This window comes from Homo sapiens, chromosome 10 (genome assembly GCF_000001405.40).
Source record: "Homo sapiens chromosome 10, GRCh38.p14 Primary Assembly".
NCBI lineage: Eukaryota > Metazoa > Chordata > Mammalia > Primates > Hominidae > Homo > Homo sapiens.
Genome location: NC_000010.11, coordinates 85362731 through 85383537, shown reverse-complemented (window position 1 = coordinate 85383537; position 20807 = coordinate 85362731). Strand labels below are relative to the sequence as shown.

General features: G+C 35.9%; 1 long non-coding RNA gene across 1 annotated transcript; it reads left to right on the top strand.

Moving 5' to 3' along the window:
• Positions 1–3421: 3421 nt before the first annotated feature.
• On the top strand, positions 3422–6052 carry LOC105378403 (uncharacterized). Its single transcript, XR_946153.2, has 3 exons — positions 3422–3501; positions 4590–4757; positions 4853–6052. It is a non-coding gene; the product is annotated as an uncharacterized LOC105378403 (long non-coding RNA).
• Positions 6053–20807: the final 14755 nt, after the last annotated feature.

Here is a 20807-nt window from a genome sequence, read left to right as displayed (position 1 = left end):
TTTTGAAAAAAAAGGCTTTATCTTTGAATAACCTAATAAAATGTGTCAATTTTAGTCTTAAAACTTGATGTTTTCACAAATCCAAGCATGTGTGTTGACATCACCAAAGGCAAGATATAAAACATATCTATTACTCCCCAAGTTTTTCTTACGCTTCTTTGCAGTCAATACTCTCACTCCATCCCAGACCCAGTTAACCTCTAATTTGCTTGCTGTCATCATAGATTTGACCTTTCTAGAATTTAATGTAAATGGGACCATGCAGAATGTAGGCTTTTATGTGTGGCTTTTTAAATTTATTTTCTTCTTTTAAAAATTGGCAGCTAACTTCATATGTTTTTATCATGTACAAAGTTTTGAGAGTTATTCATGTGGTTCATGCATCATTAGTTTATTCCCTTTAATTGTATGGATATGCCACGAGTGATTTACTCATCTACCAGCTGAATGGAAATTTGAGTCATGTCTGATTTCGGGTTACTTTTGATAAATAATCTATAAACATTTTTGTAAGCTGTTTGGGTAGACATAAATTTTTATTTCATTTGGATCAGTACCTGGGAGTAGGATTCCTGCCTCTAGTATTGCAAGTGCATATTTAACTTTATAAGAAACTATAAAATTACATTCCCATTAACGAATATCTGAGAGTGTCAGTTACTCCAGATCATCGCCAATATGCAATGAGTCTTTTCAATTTTAGCTGTTCTAGTAACTAGTGACTGTGTAGTATAATAGCAGTCTATCATTATAGTCATAGTTTGCATTTTCCTAATGTTGAATGATGTTGCTAATCTTTTGCCTGTTTGACATTCAAAATTCTTTACTGGTAAAATTTCTGTTCAAATCTTTTTCTGTTTATTTTTAGTTGCTTTTAAAAATATGTGTTTATATTTAGATTTAAATGTTCTTTATATGTTCTGGCTAAAGGTATTTGTGTTAGTTGTATTTCCCCTAATTTGTAGCTTGTCTTTTTATATTCTGACTCAAAGTGACTCAAAAAGCAAAAAACTACCCAGGTCATAGGAATTTCTCCTATATTTTCTTCTATAAGGTTTACAGGTTTAGGTTTTACATTTTAATATTAGTTATCTGGGATTAGGCAAAGATTTCTTAGATAAGAAACAAAAATATGAACCAAAAAAAGAAAGAAAAAAAACGTTAAACTTCTCCTTAGAAACAACATAAGGTAGGAGACAGTGAAGGAATATTTCAAAAGTACTGAAAGAAACAAAACAAAACAAAACTGTCAACTTAAAATTCTATGCCCAGTAAAATATTTGCAATCACGAAGGCAAACTACTTTTTCGCAGGCTTATGGAAGCTGAAATAATTTATCACCAGCAGACCTACGCTATAAAAAGGGTTAAAGTCCTAATGACAGAAGAAAAAATATATGAGATAGAAATAAGATCTACATAAAATAACAGAAACCACTGGAAATTGTTAGATATGTGGTAAATATAAAAGATATTTTCTTGTTTTATAAAATCTTTTTATAAGATAATTTATCATTTAAGGCAAAGAAGTATTATGCAATTTATAACATGTATAAATAAAATGCATAACAATAGAAGAAAGACCAGGAGGACAAATAGAAGTCTACTGTTGTAAGGTTCTTATACGTATAATATGTGAAGTGCTGTAACACTCAAAGGTAGGCTGTGCTAAGTTAATGAAGCATACTGTAAACCCAAATGTGACTGCTAAAATCATAAAATGACCAAGTATACCTAATAAACTGGTTAAATAAATAAAATAAAATCATAAAATCTGTATGTGTGCATACAAACACATACACAAAAAAGACTTACAATTGGAATTTTTATGTATTTAGAAACTTTCCAAATACAGAATTTCAGTGAGTGTTAAGCCAATTTGTTAAAATATCAGAATGAAATATTTTCTCATTAGTGTGTAGGAACTGCTGATTGACTTCAGGATTCATGGAAAATATACAAATCCAATTTCTGCAAATACCACTGCATAATGTGGATGATAAATGATGTTGTGATTAATTATGCACAGCCACATCTGGATTCATGAATCTTTGGGAGCTATCTTTTTTTAGATGTTGTAGGCATAAAACCAAGAACCAAAATAAACCGAACACCAGACTTTTGAATTTTTACATCACACTAAGAGTGAAACAAATATTTTTCAAAGATAATATGTATATTAAAACACATTGTTCTTATGGAAATTTTATTATTAATAAAATATTTACTTTTTGAAATGGTGTGATGTATATTTAATATGTAGAAATTTAAAAATTATTTTAAAATATAAACATGGGTTATTTTATCTTTATGTCATTGTTTTCACTTTTCATTTTTATATGATCTATAATGTACATAATGTAATATCTATTTATATACTTTTAAAACTACAATTTATTTTATTTGGTTATTTATTATTATAATTATGTTTTACCTAGTAATATATAAACCTATATAGTATAAAAATACATGTAAAAATGTAATATGTATATGCTTTATACTGTTACATATTGCTAATTGTGGGAATTAGTATGGTATAATATTAGTCATTTGGTGAATAAAACAAATAAATATAGTGAGATTTTAAGGAATAGAAGGCTCAGTTCTAAAAGCTTTGTTCCTTCTGCTCTGAGACACTATAACTAGATGTTCAAGCTTGAACTTCTAGAGAGAGACTTGTACAAATTCAGATTCAGTTTTAGCACTTTCTAGCTATGACACTTTAGGAAAATTAAGGCTTAGAAATAGCCTTAAAAATGAATTAGAAAATTTTTTTATTTAAAAGCATATATTAGTACCTTCCTCATTGAGTAGTTGAAATGATAACATAAATTAAAATATGTAAAATAATTAGAACAATGTATGAGACACACAAGCGCTTATGACTATCACTATGATTGCTACTACCAATAATGACTTCTAATACAGCTTAGCATTTAATAAGTGTCAGGCCCTATTTTATAGGACTCTACATAGATTAACTCACTTAATTCTCATAAAAAGGTGGGTATGCATGAGATATATTCCCATTTTGGAGATAAGTGAACTGGCACAGGGGGATTTAAATCTTATTCTTATGTTTGTGTTAAAGCTGCCATCTATTAATATTTAAAGAACAAGTTGTTTTGATCAGGTTGATAAGTAGAGTAGTAGATTGGTTAAGATAAGCTTGAAAAAATAGTTTTGTACTGTCATAGGTTAGACTATCGTTATGTATGGGTTTTTATTTTTGCCCATGACATCATATTTGACAACCAAAGTCATGTTTGCTTCATAAAATGAAGTATGTAAATTAACTCTAATATTTTTAATTTACTTAGAAATGGCTTGCATAGTCAGTGTGTCTACTGACTCAAATGTTAATCTCTTTTGGCAGTGCCCTCACAGACACACCCAGGATCAATACTTTGTATCCTTCAATCCAATCAAGTTGACACTCGGTATTAACCATCACAATGATTTATCAAAGGCACACATCTATTGGATCAATTTATTTTTACAAGTAAGGCAGCAGAAATCTCATGTTCTCTCTTCAGTTAGCATTTATTGAGCATCTACTTTTGTGCCTAGCACTGCTATAATTATTGGGCACCTAGTAATGTGAGGAATCAAATTTCTTACCTAAAGCAATTCACAATGAGTGAAGCAGCATAATAGAAATACATAACTGCCAGTGCTATAATGTCTAGTGATATGGAAATACAGTTATAAATTAGAGGAGGTCTCCATAAAGGGAGGATACTTCAGCTGTATTCTCAGCATGATAGATTTTGTGGGTTGTTTTTTGTTTTCAGATGAACTAGGCATTCAACATAGCAGGTGTAAAGACATTGGACTGTGAAAGAACACAGCATGCACAGGATACAGTCAATACAAAGTGATTGCAGGTGAAGATGTATAGAGGAGATGGGATTAATTCATAAATGGTTTAGCTTGTATCATATAGAAAACAGAAAACCAATTAAGGTAGTTTCCATAATCAAATATGTTGAGTCAACAAAAAGATATGTTGGAGCTTACCCTATGTCAGGCACTGTGTAAGCCCCTGGAAACACAGTGGTGAAGAACCTAAAAACGCTTCCCGCCCTTGGGAAATTGAGGGTATTGAGGACGTACCAAGATACTGATAATCCTTTTGGAAGGTTAATTGGATAGTGATATTATTGAGACCTAGAGGAAGAGAATTAGAGTTAGGGAAGAATATGCTGCCCTGCTGAGTTTTTGAAATGAGTTTCAAATTCTTTTCCCATGGCTGGACATACCATGGAGCCAGTTAAAATAATACTCCTCATTAATAAGGTGCTAGTTCAAATGTCACCTCCTGAAAGAGGGCTTCTCTGACCACCTTAGCCACAGGAAATACTCTTCACATATTATATGAGAACCTTATAACAGTATACTTCCATTTCTCCTCTCCAGACCTTTCTGCTGTTGTTATGCATTTTACTTATGCACATGTTATAAACTGCATAATACATTTTTTGCTTAGTCACTTTCTATCCCATTACCCCAACTTATTTTGTTAATACTGTTTGCTACCTGGAATTATCTAATTTATCTACTTGTTCATTTTCTGTTTTTTCAACCTAGAATGCAAATTGCAAGAGGGCAGATAAATGGTTCATTCTGTTTCTATTCACCGTTTCATCGCAGGAATGGAAGCATAATAGGCTCTCAGAACATTTTTGTTCAGTGTTCAATTGATGAACATAGGAGAGAGCTCAGGCTAACTTGGAAGTCATTTATGTGTAAGCACAGGTGAGTGTGAGTGTTGGTGAGTGTGAAGTTAGTCTCTTTGGAATATATTCTCAATCTTTCTGCTATCTTTCACCATCTCCTTCTCTTTTCCAAAGGGCAACTGGTTGTTACAGAAAAGAGAACATTCAAGAAATCATGGAGGTGGAATACAGGAACCTGGGCACCACATACGCAGATTACGTGTTGCTCCGGGTTCTTTTGCCTTGACTTCATATCTGCCCCCTCAGTCTCTCCAGGATACAATGTGGAAAACATGGCCACTGACAGGTTGGCATAACTGCCAGAATAGCTTTATTCATCAGAAAGACAGGGACTGTCCTACTTACTACCAGTTCTAAAATCCCTAGAAAAAGACTGCTATTAGACTGGCTTTTCAATGGCGGGTACCAACCCTTTATCCAATCCATTGTGATCGGCGTAGGAAGTCTCATGAGTACAGTGAGAATGCACTCCAGCCTGCCTAGAATGGTCCTGTTTACAACTCTCAGCCTAACTTATCATCCACAGCACCCTCCCTCACTCTCAAATAACGTGCTCTAGTTTAGGTGATAAATTATAGAGTACTTCCACATGAACAAAATGATCCTTTCATGGTCACCATGCAGTTGGTGGTTGACTTCTAGAAATATGCTTGGGGTGGCAGGAGTAGAAGGTGGCTGGAAACCTAAGATGACCAAAAGGTGGGAGCACCCTTCAGGAAGCCAATTGCCTGTGTCCATCCCTCTGTGCCTGCCATCCCTAGTGCACCTCTTCCAGACACGACACCCAGAGTTAGGCAGCAGAGCCTGGCATACTTCAAGATTCACCCAGAGGTGTGCTGATCTCTTGAAAGCCTCCCTCTTCTCATGATACCACAGGTAGGGGACTGGGTCAGTGGTAAATTATAGAATGAGTATCCACCTGAGACTCTCAGCTAACTGTCTCCTCTACTTTAAGGATTTTCCTCCCTTTGACAAGCCCTGCACTTGGATTTCTCCCGAGTGAAATACTTGGTGAGGGTTTCACTGACAGGCTTCTTCCCAGGCCCCAGGATGATCTTAAGATTCCTGGAAATAAACTAAGAAGTAAATTTAAGGCAGCATCTTGCACTTTCATCTAATTCCTTACCGAAAATGTGTGAACCTGAAGGCAACTCAAAATTCTGAGTGAATTTCCAGACTTTTCTTGGAAGTGACAAGAAAGCAACCACAGGCACCACCCAGTCAGCATACAGACATTTGCAGCTTTCTCCCTTCATTTGCATTGTTTTCTTTAACACTTTTCCGCCCTCATTTTTCATTTGACATTCTCTTGTTTTGTATTTTTCCCCTTTCTCATTTTATTCTCTTTGTCCTTTTTAAAATTCATCTGCCTCTTTTCTGTCACATCTTCATTCCCCCTTCTTATTCCTTTCTTTCTTCTCCTCCTCCCTCCTTATTCTCTCTCTGTCCTTTTCCCTTGATGAGAGACACTAAATGTGAAGTCGATTTGTCCCTGGACGTAGCTGTTGCTTGGGAGGAGACACACCCCAGGCTCTGAAGACTCTCTACTTCAACACTGAAGGACCTCGGCCTCAGCACTGACATGAGTTACGTATGACGGTGGCCCCTGAAGGAGCACTTAACAGGTTACATTAGTGAGTGCTCTAGATCCCTTCTACACAGCTGTGCTTGAAGGTCCAGAACTGATTGCCAGTGTGTCTTTGGGGCATGCATTTTCTACTGCCTGTTCCATTCCAAAGAGCCGGCTTCCTGAGTCAGGTATAAGGCCCGACTGCTTAATATTTGATGATATGATTTTCCCACTGCTCAGATGAATACAATATTGTATAAGGCCAATGCAATGCTGAAGTTTTCACTCCACGATTTCAGCAAAGTACAAAGAAGCAAGCAGAGAAGGGAGCCCATAAACTCATAAACATCTGTGGGAAACAGCAAAGAGATTCATTTGGAAAATCAAAAAAGAAACTATAAAAAGATGTTTACATTATCCTGAGGAGAAAAGCTATATTCACAGACTTTATTATTAAGTTTTAAAGATAATTCATAATATATTTCTCTCTGGTGCTGCAGTAAAATTTTATGTTCAGGACTTCGGATATATGCCTTGTGTTTTAGGTCATGGCCATGGTAAGTGTCATATTGTGGGTCTTTGTTCATTCATTCATTCAACAAATATTTCTTGATGCACTTGTAATATGTTGGCCACTATAACATACATGGGCTATACGACCATGTCCAAGACAGGCAGGTTCCTACCTTCAAAAAGCTTATATTCTATTGAGTATATTCATAGATACAAACAAATGAATCAAGGAGTGGTTTAAAATTACTGAACTTTTGGAACAGAAAGAAGGCTAGTATGGCTGAAGCATGGTGAACAGGGTCTGGGTAGTGTAGGATGAAGCTGAGGGAATAGACAGAGACAAGGGTCATGATGAAAAGTATAGCTTTTATTCTAAGGGTAAATACTTCACGATCGTGGCTTCTTCTTCAAGACCAGAGCTAAAGACCAGCAATTCCTCTTCCCTGGCTAGACTTCAGGTACTGTTTGTCCACTTTCCCTGTGATCCCCTAAAATCTCTCCCTGTGGGGATCATTAATGCCATCTTTAACATAAAGTGACTTAAACCCCATAGAATTAGAAAACCCTCTCAGCAGAATCACCTCCTATTGTCCCTCCATCCCTGACCATCTGTCACAAATCTTTGCTCTTTTCTTGGATGTCCAGTTACAACATCAGCTTTCTAGGGTCTGGCCGTCGCCTCTTGACTTCCTGTGAAAAGGCCTCACTTTCTGCCTCTGTGATTATGAGCAAAACTTTTACACATATCTTTCTGGCTGTTTCTCATTCTAGGGGTTGGGTCACAAAATATGAATTAAAATATAAGCCATTTCAATTATTATCCTTTACTAATTTTTATGAACAGTTGGGAAATGTGCCATTTGAAACATTTTGCTTAGCATCCTCTCAGAGTCATGAAACTTCTGCATTTTTTGAACTGCTATGGATTAGCAATAACAGAATGGCAGGAAAAGAAGGATTGAGCATTTGTCATACCACTTTTACCCAGATTGACCCCTTGGCCAAACTCTCAATGTTGTTTAAAATTTGCATAATATTTTACAATTACAACTTAAACTTAGCTTCAATTTCCCAATAGTCAGCATCCAATTTAGTACATCTTGTTTTTTTTTAATCTCCTCTTTTCAGTTTCTTGTAGGGTTTTTATATTTAGTATTTTTTAATTAAAGGAAACTTGCAAAATTTCAATCCTGTGTAGACAGAATTGAATCCTGAACAGACAGAATCTTTGGATAGAAACCTCTGCATTTTGAGAACACCGCTCTAAGAAATGCCTTAATGGAGCAGCACTTTCCAGTAAGATGAAGAGTTACAGATAGGAGCAAATTGCAACTGAACTTGTGTTTTCCTGGCTGAGTTGCCAGGAGCCATGTATTTTTCCTATTGTTCTGCAGATCTTTGCTGGAAAGTTTATATTCATTGATTGCTCAAGGCAAGTGCTGCAGCTTGGTGAAATCCCTTTCTAAAAATAAAAATGTACAACAGGTACTCAGATATCCTTACACTGCCTACTTTCCACTGCTGACTTCCACCTCCCTCCAAGAAAGTAGAAGTTTGTGGGAAATGGAAAATATGGAAGGTGGGTAAACAATGGGGGATAGGAAAAGGAGAAAAGAGAAAGAGGGGAATAGTGCAATGGAGGGTAGAAATGGGGAAGAAAGAAGATAAAAGAGGGAGGCGTTGGAGAAGAGAGGATACAGGATCACCTTAAAGGTAGAAGTTCTGTGAGGAAAGAGCTGGAGGAGATATGAGATGAAGAAAATGAACATGGAAAACTTTAGAACTGATGTCAGAACAGGCTGCTGTTTTTTAACCTGAAAGTGATTCCAACCTTGTATTAGTCTCACATGGCTGCTGTAACAAGTTACCACAAACTTGGTGGTTAAACAACAATACTGTTTTTGAGGTAAGAGGTTAAAATTGGTCTCACTAGGCTAAAACCAAAGTGTCAACAGGACTATGCTCCTTTCTGGAGCCTCTAAAGGAGAATTTGTTCCCTTGATCTTCAGCTTCTGCAGGTTGCCCACAATCCTTGGTTCACAATCTGCTTCCTACATCATTAAAGACAACATAGGCAGATTGAGACTTTCTTACATTAAATGACCAATTTCTGCTTCCAATGGCACATTTTCATCTCTCTCTCCCCTGCTCACTTCTTCCACTTATAAAGACACTTGTAATTACACTGAGCTTGTAACCATCAGGGAATGTATCTGAGTCACATGGCACCAAAATATGTTAGCAGCTGCAAATCTGTACAGGTCTGCAGCAAGTTCAATTCTTGCCTCCTCAGAGGGGAGAATTCAACCAAGGGTAATAAGGTGGAGGGAGAGACTGAGGCAAGTTTTACAGCAGGATTGAAACTTTATTAAAAAGTTTAGAGCAGGAATGAAAGGAAGTAAGGTACACTTGGAAGAGGGCCAAGCGGGCAACTTGAGAGAGTCAAGTGTGTGGTTTGACCTTTGACTTGGGGTTTTATGCATCGGCATTATTCCAGAGTCTGCATCTCTACTCCCCTGATTCTTCCCTTGGGGTGGGATGTCTGCATGTGCAGTGGCCTGCCTGCACTTGGTGGGGGCCGGGGGAAGCATGAGTAATGTGTTTACTGAAGTGTACATGTTCACTTGAGGCATTTTTTCCATACTGGTTGAGTGTCCCTAGTAGATTATATACCAGTTAAACTGTGCCATTTTGCCTCTTAGGGCACATGCTTGAGCCCACTCACCCAACTCCTGAAATCTTACTGGGAAGCTGCTGATCACCAGGTTTAGGTATTTCTATCTACTGGGAGACTGCCTTTCCCTGGTGCTAACTGTAACCAATTATTATTTTAAAGTGGCAGTTTAACAACCACCTGAACATCACCTGATGCTCACCTGGCATACTTTGGTGGGGAGAAGGGGAGCTCTCCTGCCATGCTCATGTCTGCCTCTGCCTCATGACCTATAGTCACAAGCCCATCTGGACAATCTGGGATAATTTTCCCACCTCAAGGGCAGCTTATGGGCACTCTAATTCCATCTGCAACTTTAGTTCCCCACACCTGCCCCATGTAACCTACAATATTCAAGGATTCCAGGGATTAGTATGTGGACACCTTTATGAGGGCATTGTTTTGCCTACAGAAGTCCTGGTACTGTGATAGGGATCTCTCTGATTCCTGGATGGCTCAGACTTCAAACCCCACTATCACTCCATTTCTTTTGTCACATCTTCATATTGAAAATGAGGCTTGATGCAAGGTCTGGCTTTCCATGTCTTTCTTTATAGGGGCCATAGGGGATCACTCTTTGCCTTTATCTAGTATCTGAAGTGTATTCTACAAATTTGAACTGTGTTCACAGTATCCATCTATTGTGATTCAATTCTTCAAGCAAAACTAGACTTTGATTAGCAAACAAAGCCTGAAATGTCTAAATAAAATAAAGGATATGAAATGAAAGTACATAAATGAGCAGTTTGTTCTTTCTTAGATTGGCCACCATGGCTTATAGAGAGAAAGCCCCTGTTCTGTGTGAGCAATACCAAATGAAGCATGCACTGGCACATGAGGTTGAGAGACCTGGGCTAGGGTTAGAGGTGGTGCTCCGAGAAAGATCGGAGGAAAAGAAATTGTATCAGTAAAATAATTACATAACTTCTTTGCAGTTTTTATATTTCCTGTTTTCCTGGAAGGATTCTCTCTTATTTATAAACAGTTTTTGTGATTGATTAAACTGGCTACCTAGTCACTCAAGATAGATAACTCAACTTTTTAATTGAACAAAATTGACTGATGCTGTGTATTACAGTTAATATTACAGCTTTGATAGATGCAATGAACAATTATCTGTGCATATGAGCAGTGCAAAGAAAGGGGATTTCTGAGTTCTGTTTGTTTAAATACATGTGCATTTGAACTAATTTGTCCAAATATCAGTCAATAATATACAAATGTAAAGTTACAGCAACCATACTTTAAATAAGATAATATTACAAAAACATTTTAACATAGTACCACATATTTATTTGTGGAATGAGATTGTTTCCAGTATGTAATCAAAGGGGGATGAGAAACTCAAAATTGACAAGGGAGATTTAGTAAACAAAGTCTTTATACGTATCCTAAAGCTAGAAAGAAGATAGGCACTCCTTTAGCATAAGTAGGTCTAAAGTGATATAAGCAAACAGGATATGAACTCATTCTATGGAGCCATTGATGGGATCTGAAAAGGTGAGATATCTGACTTTTTAAAATATGTGTTGACCAAAAAAGGCAAAAGCAGAAAGGAATATTATAAGACAAGTTGAAAAAAAAAATCCCCAAATCCCTCAACTTCCCCCATCCACATCTGAAAAAAATCAACAGCAAAATGTTCTGCTTGTGTGGTCAGAAGGGTCCAATTTTTACAATTTTAGAACACAAACTGAAAATCAGAATGATTTCTGCAGAGAAACTTACTAGTTTCCCAATTCAGAAGATCAAATAAATAGTTGTACCTCAATGCCCAAAGATTACTGAAGTTCACAAAAACAAAAAGAGATATGCGGGACAGATTAAGCAAAACCGCTGTAGAAATAATCAGAGATATTAAAATGATAAGTGGAAAAGACAGATTAGAATAAATAACCAACATCAACTAGAACAAATTTTCTACTACAAGTTTCAGGCAGAATGTACAGATTTTCTACACAAGAAAAAGAATTAGATAATCTCAGATTACTGAAGTGAACATATGTAGACTATAGAATTACATGTGAGACAAAAATCTTCTATCTAGCCAAGATACCGTCTGTTTGTTAGGGCAAGGAGGGGTGTGTGTGTGTGTGTGTGTGTGTGTGTGTGTGTGTGTTTCTTTCAAGAATTCATAGGACATGTTACACAGTTTTATCTAAAGAAAAACACAAGGATATATGAATAAGATGTTATCAAATGGCAATTAAATTAAAACAGATATATTAAATAAAAGATAACAAAAATAAATCATGAGCAAAGATTTTAAAATACATGCACAGACATTTATGTACACATATTTATAAATATGTATTTATAGGATAAACTGAAAATGATAATATGACTGATAATTTTTACTATAAAATTTAAGTAAAGGTAAATAAGACATAGACAACAAAAATCAGGAAAAACATTTAATAGCCTATAAATAAAATATTTCAAATTATTTAGAATAACCTTTAAGTTTTACGATCAGAAGTTAGAGATTTAAATGCCTTTGAATGATTTCATTTTATAAAGATGGGAAAAGTAAGAATGGGTGAGCAAAATATTTATTAGAAATATATAATTATTGTTTCATATGAATATAGTTACTGATAAAATGAGGCAAGTTAATATTTTTATTGTTGAAAAGATAATATTTGAGGCAATTTAAAATGATACTGGAATTTTAAAATTAACAGTGGGTGGTAAAGAGAAAATAGTCTAGGCCAGCAAAAATAAGGATTAGAAGAAAGCAAACAGCATCAATAAAGAGTAGACAATAAATAGCAAATACAAGCTAGGATGAAAATAATAAAAACCAAATATTTTAGTGAACACAATAAATACGGGTGGATTAAAATAGTCCCTCATGATGTTCATTTTCATAATACAATATATAAATACACATACACATGCACAATGTGTTTGATATTTTCAAGTAGAATACCCAATGAAAACGACCAAAGCAAAGTTTGAAATAAATATTCTAGCAAATATAAATTAAGCAAATGTAATAAGATGAAATGGAGTGAATGGAAAAAGCCAAATGCATTATACAGGAAAAATAATATTATGTGCAAAAAATTATTAAAATATATCTCTTTATGCAAAAACAAAATGGAGCCAAATAAGGAAAAACCTGCAGAAAATGGAACTTGATAACATTAAATTAAAGTAGAAGATATTAATAAAACTTCTTTTTCTGAAAGGACACATGATGTCAATAATAAATGTACATGGATAATGAGGATTTGGATTATTAAACAGAAGGATTTGATTCTATCAAATAAAAGGATTTATCTCAAAAAGTTGAGATATTATTAAGCCTCTTCATTGTTCATAAATATATGAAGTAAAATGTCAACCATAGAATTATACAAAAACTTAATATCATGACAATTAAGACATTCTTAAGTAATCTCTGAAGCAAAATGGATATCAAAATTGAAATAAAAACTACCTCAGGCTGATCTGGGTGGCTCATGCCTGTAATCCTAGCACTTTGAGAGGCTGAGGAAAGAGGATTGCCCAAGAGTTCAAGAACAACCTGGGACACACATTTGAGACTCCATCTCTAAAATATTTTTTTAAAAATTAGCTGGGCATGGTGGCACATACCTATAGTCTCAGCTATTTAGGGGGCAGAAGTGGAAGGATTGCTTGAGCCCAGGAGGTTGAGGCTACGGTGAGCCATGATTGCACCACTGCACTCCAGCCTGGGTGACAAAGCAAGACCCTGTCTCAGAAAAGGAAAAAAAAAATCAATCTGAAAAGGACAAAACTACATGCTAAAATATGTGTAAAAGCAAAATGTGTAACTATAAAAAATTCACAATAGTACTTTTTTTTTTTTACTATTAAAAGGCTAATAGAATAATACATTGAGAATTTGACTACTAAATGTAGAAACATTAAGAAGAACTGAAAGGATGAAATTAATTAAAATTAAGAACTAAAACTGAAGGAATAGAAAACAACCAAATGGGTAAATAGGATAATAAAACATTTTTCTTTCCAAAACAGTAAAATAAATGCAATGCTAAGAAGTTCACCTTATGAGAAAAAGAGAAAATGAAAGAACTGAAAACATTAAGAATGACAAAGGGGGTTTAAGCACAAATACAAATAAATTAGATTTATAAATGAGTATTAAGTTTAACACTGTGAATTTGACAATACAGTAGAAATAAATAGTTTTCTAGCAAAAATATGAAATTTTCATATTTCAAATGGCAGGATGAGCCTTATGCCAATTACTTCTCCTACCCCCGCCCTAAGTGGCATCACATAGTAGACAATATTAAATGAAAAGCCAGCTAAGCTAAGCAAGAACAGCAACAACAACTCATCAACAGGAAAAAATGAAAAAATGAAGTGGAATAAATACAAAAAGCCACCAAAAACAAAAGGTTATCATTGGTAATGGCATAACCTGTTTCTGAATGACTTTTGGGTAAATCATGAAATTAAGGTAGACATCAAGAAGCCCTTTGAAACTAATAAGAACAAAGATACAACATACCAGAATGTCTGGGACACAGCTAAGAGGGAAATTCATAGCACTAAATCCACATCAAAAACTTAGAAGCATCTCAAATTAACAACCTAACATCACAACCGAAAAAACTAGAAACCAAGAGCAACCAAATCCCAGAGATAATGGAGGACCAGAAATAACCAAAATCAGAGCTGAACTGAAAGAGATTGAGATACGGAAAACCATTCAAAAGGTCAACAAATCCAGGAGCTGTTATTTTGAAAGAATTAATACAATAAATGCACTGCTAGCTAGATTAATAAGGAAGAAAAGAGAGAAGATTCAAATAAGCACAATCAGAAAGACAAGGGAAATACTACCACTGACTCCACAGAAATACAACCAACCATCAGAGAATATTATAAACACCTCTATAAACATAAACTAGAAAATACAGAAGAAATGGATAAATTCCTGGACACATACATCCTCCCAAGACTGAACCATAAAGAAACTGAATCTCTGAACTGACCAATAATGAACTCTGAAATTGAGAGTAATAATAGCCTGCCAACCAAAAAAAGCGCCAAACCAAATGGATTCGTGGTTGAATTCTACCAGATGTACAAAATGGTACCATTTGTATTTGAAACTGTTTCAAAAACTTGAGAAAGAGGAACTCCTCCCTAACTCATTCTATGAGGCCAGCATCATTCTGATACCAAAACCTGGCAGAGTTGCCAGGGGCAGTGGCTCACACCTGTAATACCAGCACTTTGGGAGGCCGAGGAGGGTGGATCATGAGGTCAGGAGTTCAAGATCAGACTGACCAAGATGGTGAAACCCCATCTCTACTAAAAATACAAAAAAATTAGCTGGCCATGGTGGTGGGTGCCTGTAATCCCAGCCACTCGGGAGGCTGAGGCAGAGAATTGCTGGAACCCAGGAGGCGGAGGTTGCAGTGAGCCGAGATTGTGCCACTGCACTCCAGCCTGGGCAACAGAGCAAAACACTGGAAAAAAAAAAAAAAAGCTGGCATAGACACAACAAAAAAAGAAAACTTCAGGCTAATATCCTTGATGAACATATATGCAAAAATCCTCAACAAAATACTGGTGAATTGAACCCAGCAGCACATCAAAAAGTGTATCCACCACAATCAAGTCAGCTTTATTTCTGGGATGCAAGGTTGGTTCAATATATGCAAATCAATAAATGTGATTCATCACATAAACAGAACAAAAGACAAAAACCACATGATTATCTCAATAGATGCAGAAAAGGCCTTCAATAAAACTCAACCCTGATTCCTGTTAAAAATTCTCAATAAACGAGGTATTGAATGAACAAACTTCAAAATAATAAGAGCTGTATGTAACACACCCATAGCCAATATCATACTGAATGGGCAAAAGCTGGAAGCATTCCCCTTTAAAACCAGTACAAGACAAGGATGCCCTCTCTCACCATTCCTATTTAACATATTATTGGAAGTTCTGGCCAGGACAATCAGACAAGAGAAAGAAATAAAGGGTATTAAAATAGGAAGAGAGGAAGTCAAATTATCTTAGTCTGCAGATGATTGATGATCCTATATCTAGAAATGATCCTGTATCTAGAAAACACCTTCGTCTCCACTCAAAAGCTTCTTAAGCTGATAAGCAACTTCAGCAAAGTCTCAGAATATAAAATCAATGTGCAAAAATCAGTAGCATTCCTATATGCTAACAACAATCAAGCTGAGAGCCAAATCATGAATAATGCACACTCACAATTGCCACAAAAAGGATAAAATATCTTGCAATACAGTTAACTAAGGAGGTAAAAGTTCTCAACAAGGGGAACTACAAACTAGTGCTCGAAGAAATCAAAGGTGATAGAAACAAATGGCAAAATGTTCCATGCTCATGTATAGGAAGAATCAATATTGTGAAAATGGCCAAACTGCCCAAAGCAATTTATATATTCAATGCTATTTCCTATTAAAATCCCACTGGGACTCTTCAGAGAACTAGATAGAGCTATTTTAAAATTCATATGGAATGAAAAACAGACTGAAGAGCCAAGACATTCCTAAGCAAAAAGAACAACACTGGAGGCATCACTCTACCCAACTTCAAACTGTACCATAGGGCTACAGTAATTAAAACAGCATGGTACTGGTGCAAAAACAGACAGATAGACCAATGGAAGAGAATAGACAACCCAGAAATAAGACCACACACATACAAACATCTGATCTTCAACAAACCTGACAAAAACAAGCAATGGGGAAAGGATTCCTTATTCAATAAATGGTGTTGGGAAAACTGACTAGCCATATGCAGATTAAAACTGGACCCCTTCTTTACAGCATATACAAAAATTAATAACTCAAGGTAGATTAAAGACTTATATGTAAAATCCAAAACTATAAAAACTCTAGAAGACAACCTAGATAATACCATTCAGGAGATGGAACAGGCAAAAATTTCATGTTGAAGACACCAAAAGCAATTGAACAAAACAAAATTTGACAAATGGAATCTAATTAAACCAAAGAGCTTGTGCACAGCAAAGTAAACTATCAACAGAGTAAACAGACAACCTTTAGAATGGGAGAAAATTTTTGCAAACTATGCATCTGACAAAGGTCTAATATTCAGCATTTGTAAGGAACTGAAACAAATTTACAAGAAGAAAAAAAGAAACAACCTCATTAAAAAGTGGGCAAAGGACATAAACAGGCACTTCAAAAGATAACATACATGCATCCAATAATCATATGAAAAAAGCAAAACGTCACTGATCATTAGAGAAACACAAATCAAAACCACAGTGAGATATCATCTCATACCACTCAGAATGGCTGTTATGTAAAAGTTAAAAAATAACAGATGATGGCAAGGTTGTGGAGAAAAAGGAATGCTTATACACTGTTGATGGGAGTGTAAATTAGTTCAAGCATTGTGGGAGACAGTGTGGTGATTCCTCAAAGAACTAAAGACAGAGATACCATTCAACCTAGCAATCCTATTACTAGGTATATACCCAAAGGAATAAAAATCATTCTACTATAAAGACATATGCACACATATGTGCATTGCAGCACTATTCACATAGCAAAGACATGAAATCAACCTGAATGCCTATCAATGATAGACTGGATAAAGAAAATGTGGTACATACATACCACGGAATACTAAGCAGCCATAAAAAAAATGAGATCATGCCATTTGCAGGGACATGGATGGAGCTGGAGGCCATTATCCTTAGCACAGTAACACAGGAAAGGAAAAACAGAAACCACATGCTTTCACTTATAAGTGGGAGCTAAATGGTGAGAACACATGGACACATGGATTGCGGGGGAACACCACACACTGGGGCCTATCAGAGGGTGGAAGGTGGAAGGAGGGAGAGGAACAGGACAAATAACGAATGGATGCTTGGCTTAATACCTGGGTGATGAAATGACCAGTACAACAAACCCCCACAACACAAGCTTACCTATGTAACAAACCTGCACATGTACCCCTGAATTTAAAATAAAAGTTGAACAAAGCAAGTTAACTGAGTAATTCCTGAAATTCGTAAAATGGATAACTTCTAGATGAAAATAAATGAAACCACAGGCAAAAACAAGGACAGGCCAAGACTGCTTAAATAGTAGAGGTGTTTTCAGAGGCCTTCCAAGCCTGAAAATGGAAGACACTGGAAGACAGGACCATATCTCTAAGCAGTGTGATCAGTTAGGATACACAATTAGGCCAGCTTTTTGACATCCGTACCAAGTTCATCTCTCCTATATAGCCGGTGCAAAGCCACAAAGCAGTGTAGCTCAGGGAAGGAGCAGTGAGTTTGGGCACTTGTGACAGAATAGTGGGACTATGCCAGAGATACACAGGAGGAGGTGGTACCTTCTAGCTCCCCCTCAAAACATAAAGCATAGACTGCAAAGTACTCCCAAGCAGGCTGAATAACACTCGAGTACCAAAAAAATACACTCTGAAACAATACCAATAATTTTTTTAAAAATTATATATACCATGATAGTTAGAAATCATATAAAACCTTATGTCTAGTAGAACAAAAAGATAAATAGGGTTATTTCTTTGTTCTGTTGGGTAAAGAATTAAAAGTGAGAGGAGGAGGGTGATACAAATATGGATTAATGCTAGAAAGACTTTGACAAATATAATTTTAAGTATGTATGTTAACATCTTTAGTGTAAACACTTGAAAAATAGAAATAAATAAATCCAGATCATTAGAGAAACAACAGCAACAAAATCCTTGAAGGAAACGTAATAAATAAATTAAAAAAACATAAGAACTTAAAAAGTGGGGGAAGATGTAATGAAGACTTAGGATAAAAATAAATCAGTAAACAAGACGAAATTTTTAAAATAAAATAATGATTGTCAATATAAATGGATAACATTAATCTACTAAAAGCACATTTTTTGAAGAACAAACAAAATAAAGCAAGCAGGATCAAGTGGAATTCAAGATGAAAGTAAAATACAATTTTTCATATTGATGAAATGAATAATTCACCATGAAAATATTTTAGTCAATAATACTTATGCATTCAGAAACATAGCTTAAAATACATACAGAAAAAAATGATTAGCTGTGGAAGACAAATTGACAAAGCTACAAAACTAGTGAGAGAGTTTATTACACCTCTCTCAAAAGTGACAGAACAGATAAGTAGACCAAAATAAGTACAGGTATATTGAATAATAAAATGTTTGAACAAGTAGAATTTAAATTCAATAGAAGTTGCATTTTTTTTGTGAATGTGAATTATTTATTTGAGCAAATAAATATGTATTCCTTTAAATTTAACAAAACTATACTTTTTAAATAATATATACAAAACATTCACAAATAATGATTATGAACTAGGAACCAAGGGAAATCTGAACAACGTATAAAAAGCTGATTTTATGTAATCTATATCCATTAAACAAAATACAATTAAGAATTAACAAATTAGGAGCAAAAAAAATACTAAAATGTAAAATCTATGCATATATAAAACATACATTTATAAACAACTATTGAGTTAGATAAAACATTAAAATGGAAATTTGCTGTTAAAATTGATAGCAAAGGTATCAGTTAGATATAAAAAACAATTGTGGTGCTTAATTTTCTGTGTCAACTTGCCTGAGCAATGGGATGCCAAGATAGCTGGTTAAACATTATTTCCGGGTGTGTCTGTAATGGTGTTTCTGGAAGAGATGAGCATTTGAATTGGTGGACTGAGTAAAGCAGATGCCTACCCCGCCCCGCTCACTGTGAGTGGGAATCATTTCATTCTCTGAGGGCCTGAATAGAACAAAAAGGTAGAGTTGAATTCACCCTCTGCCTGATGGCTTCAGTTGGGACTTTGATCTCCTGCCTTTGGCTTTCTCGGTTCTCAGGCCTTCAGACACAGACTGTGGCTTAGTCTGTTTTCTGTTGCGTTTAACAGAATACTTGGAACTGAGTAATATATATTTAAAAAAAAAGGAATTCATTTCTCATAGTTATGGAGGCTTAGAAGTCCAAGGTCAAGGAGTTGCATCTGGATCTCAGGCCTTCAAACCACACTATAGTCTTTCCTCTGTCTCCAGCTTAAAGACAGCCGACTGTGGGACTTCTCAGCCTTCATAACCATTTAACCCAATATACCTTCTAATGAATCCTCTCTCTCTTTTTTCCCCAGTCTTCTATTGGTTATTTTTCTCTGGACATTCCTTGCTAATACAATAATAAGCATTGACTATTAATGAACTTAGAAATTAAAAAATTAGAAATTTTGTAAATAAATGAACTTAGTTTTTGATTTAAAAACCTGGAACAGGACAAGTCAGTGATTAAAGAAAAATAGAAAGAAGAAATTAGGCCGGGCGCAGTGGCTCACACCTGTAATCGCAGCACTTTGGGAGGCTGAGGCGGGCGGATCACCTGAGGCCAGGAGTTTGAGACCAGCCTGGCCAACATGGTGAAACCCTGTCTCTACTAAAAATACAAAAATTAGCCAGGCGTGGTGGTGCGTTCCTGTAATCTCAGCTACTGGGGAGGCTGAGGCAGGAGAATCGCTTGAACCCGGGAGGCGGAGGTTGCAGTGAGCTGACATCGTGCCACTGCACTCCAACCTGGGTGACAGAGTGAGACTCTGTCTCAAAAAAAAAAAAAAGAAAAGAAAGGAGAAATTAATAAAGATAATAGCCCAAAATAATAACATAAAAAGGTAAAACCTTAAGTTATCCAAAACCCCATAGAATTCTTTTTTTTTTTAGACAGAGTCTCGCTCTGTCACCAGGCTGGAGTGCAGTGCTGCAACCTCCGCCTCCCGGGTTCAAGCGGTTCTCCTGCCTCAGCCTCCCGAGTAGTGGGGACTCCAGGCGCGCGCAACCACCACGCCCAGTTATTTTTGTATTTTTAGTAGAGACAGGGTTTCACCATGTTGGCCAGGATGGTCTTCATCCCTTGACCTCGTGATCTGCCTTCCTCGGCCTCTCAAAGTGCTGGTATTACAGGCGAGAGCCACCGCACCCTGGCCCCCAGAGAATTCTTAAATATATGTTTGTAAAATTTGTCAATGTATTTGAATTAGGAAACCAACTGGGGGTTATTTTTAGTACCCTGACATTTGGAGAAGTGACTAGATTACATAATCTTTGGCAGAAATTGTCTTCTTTACAGTGAATAATCCTGACAATCTGAATAACCTTACCTCATAGATCTAACACACTGAACTACCCTAGCCCTTTCAGAGAAGGTGCAGAGAAAATTAGGAGCTCCATGAAAGCACCATTCACCTGCTAAAAATGCCA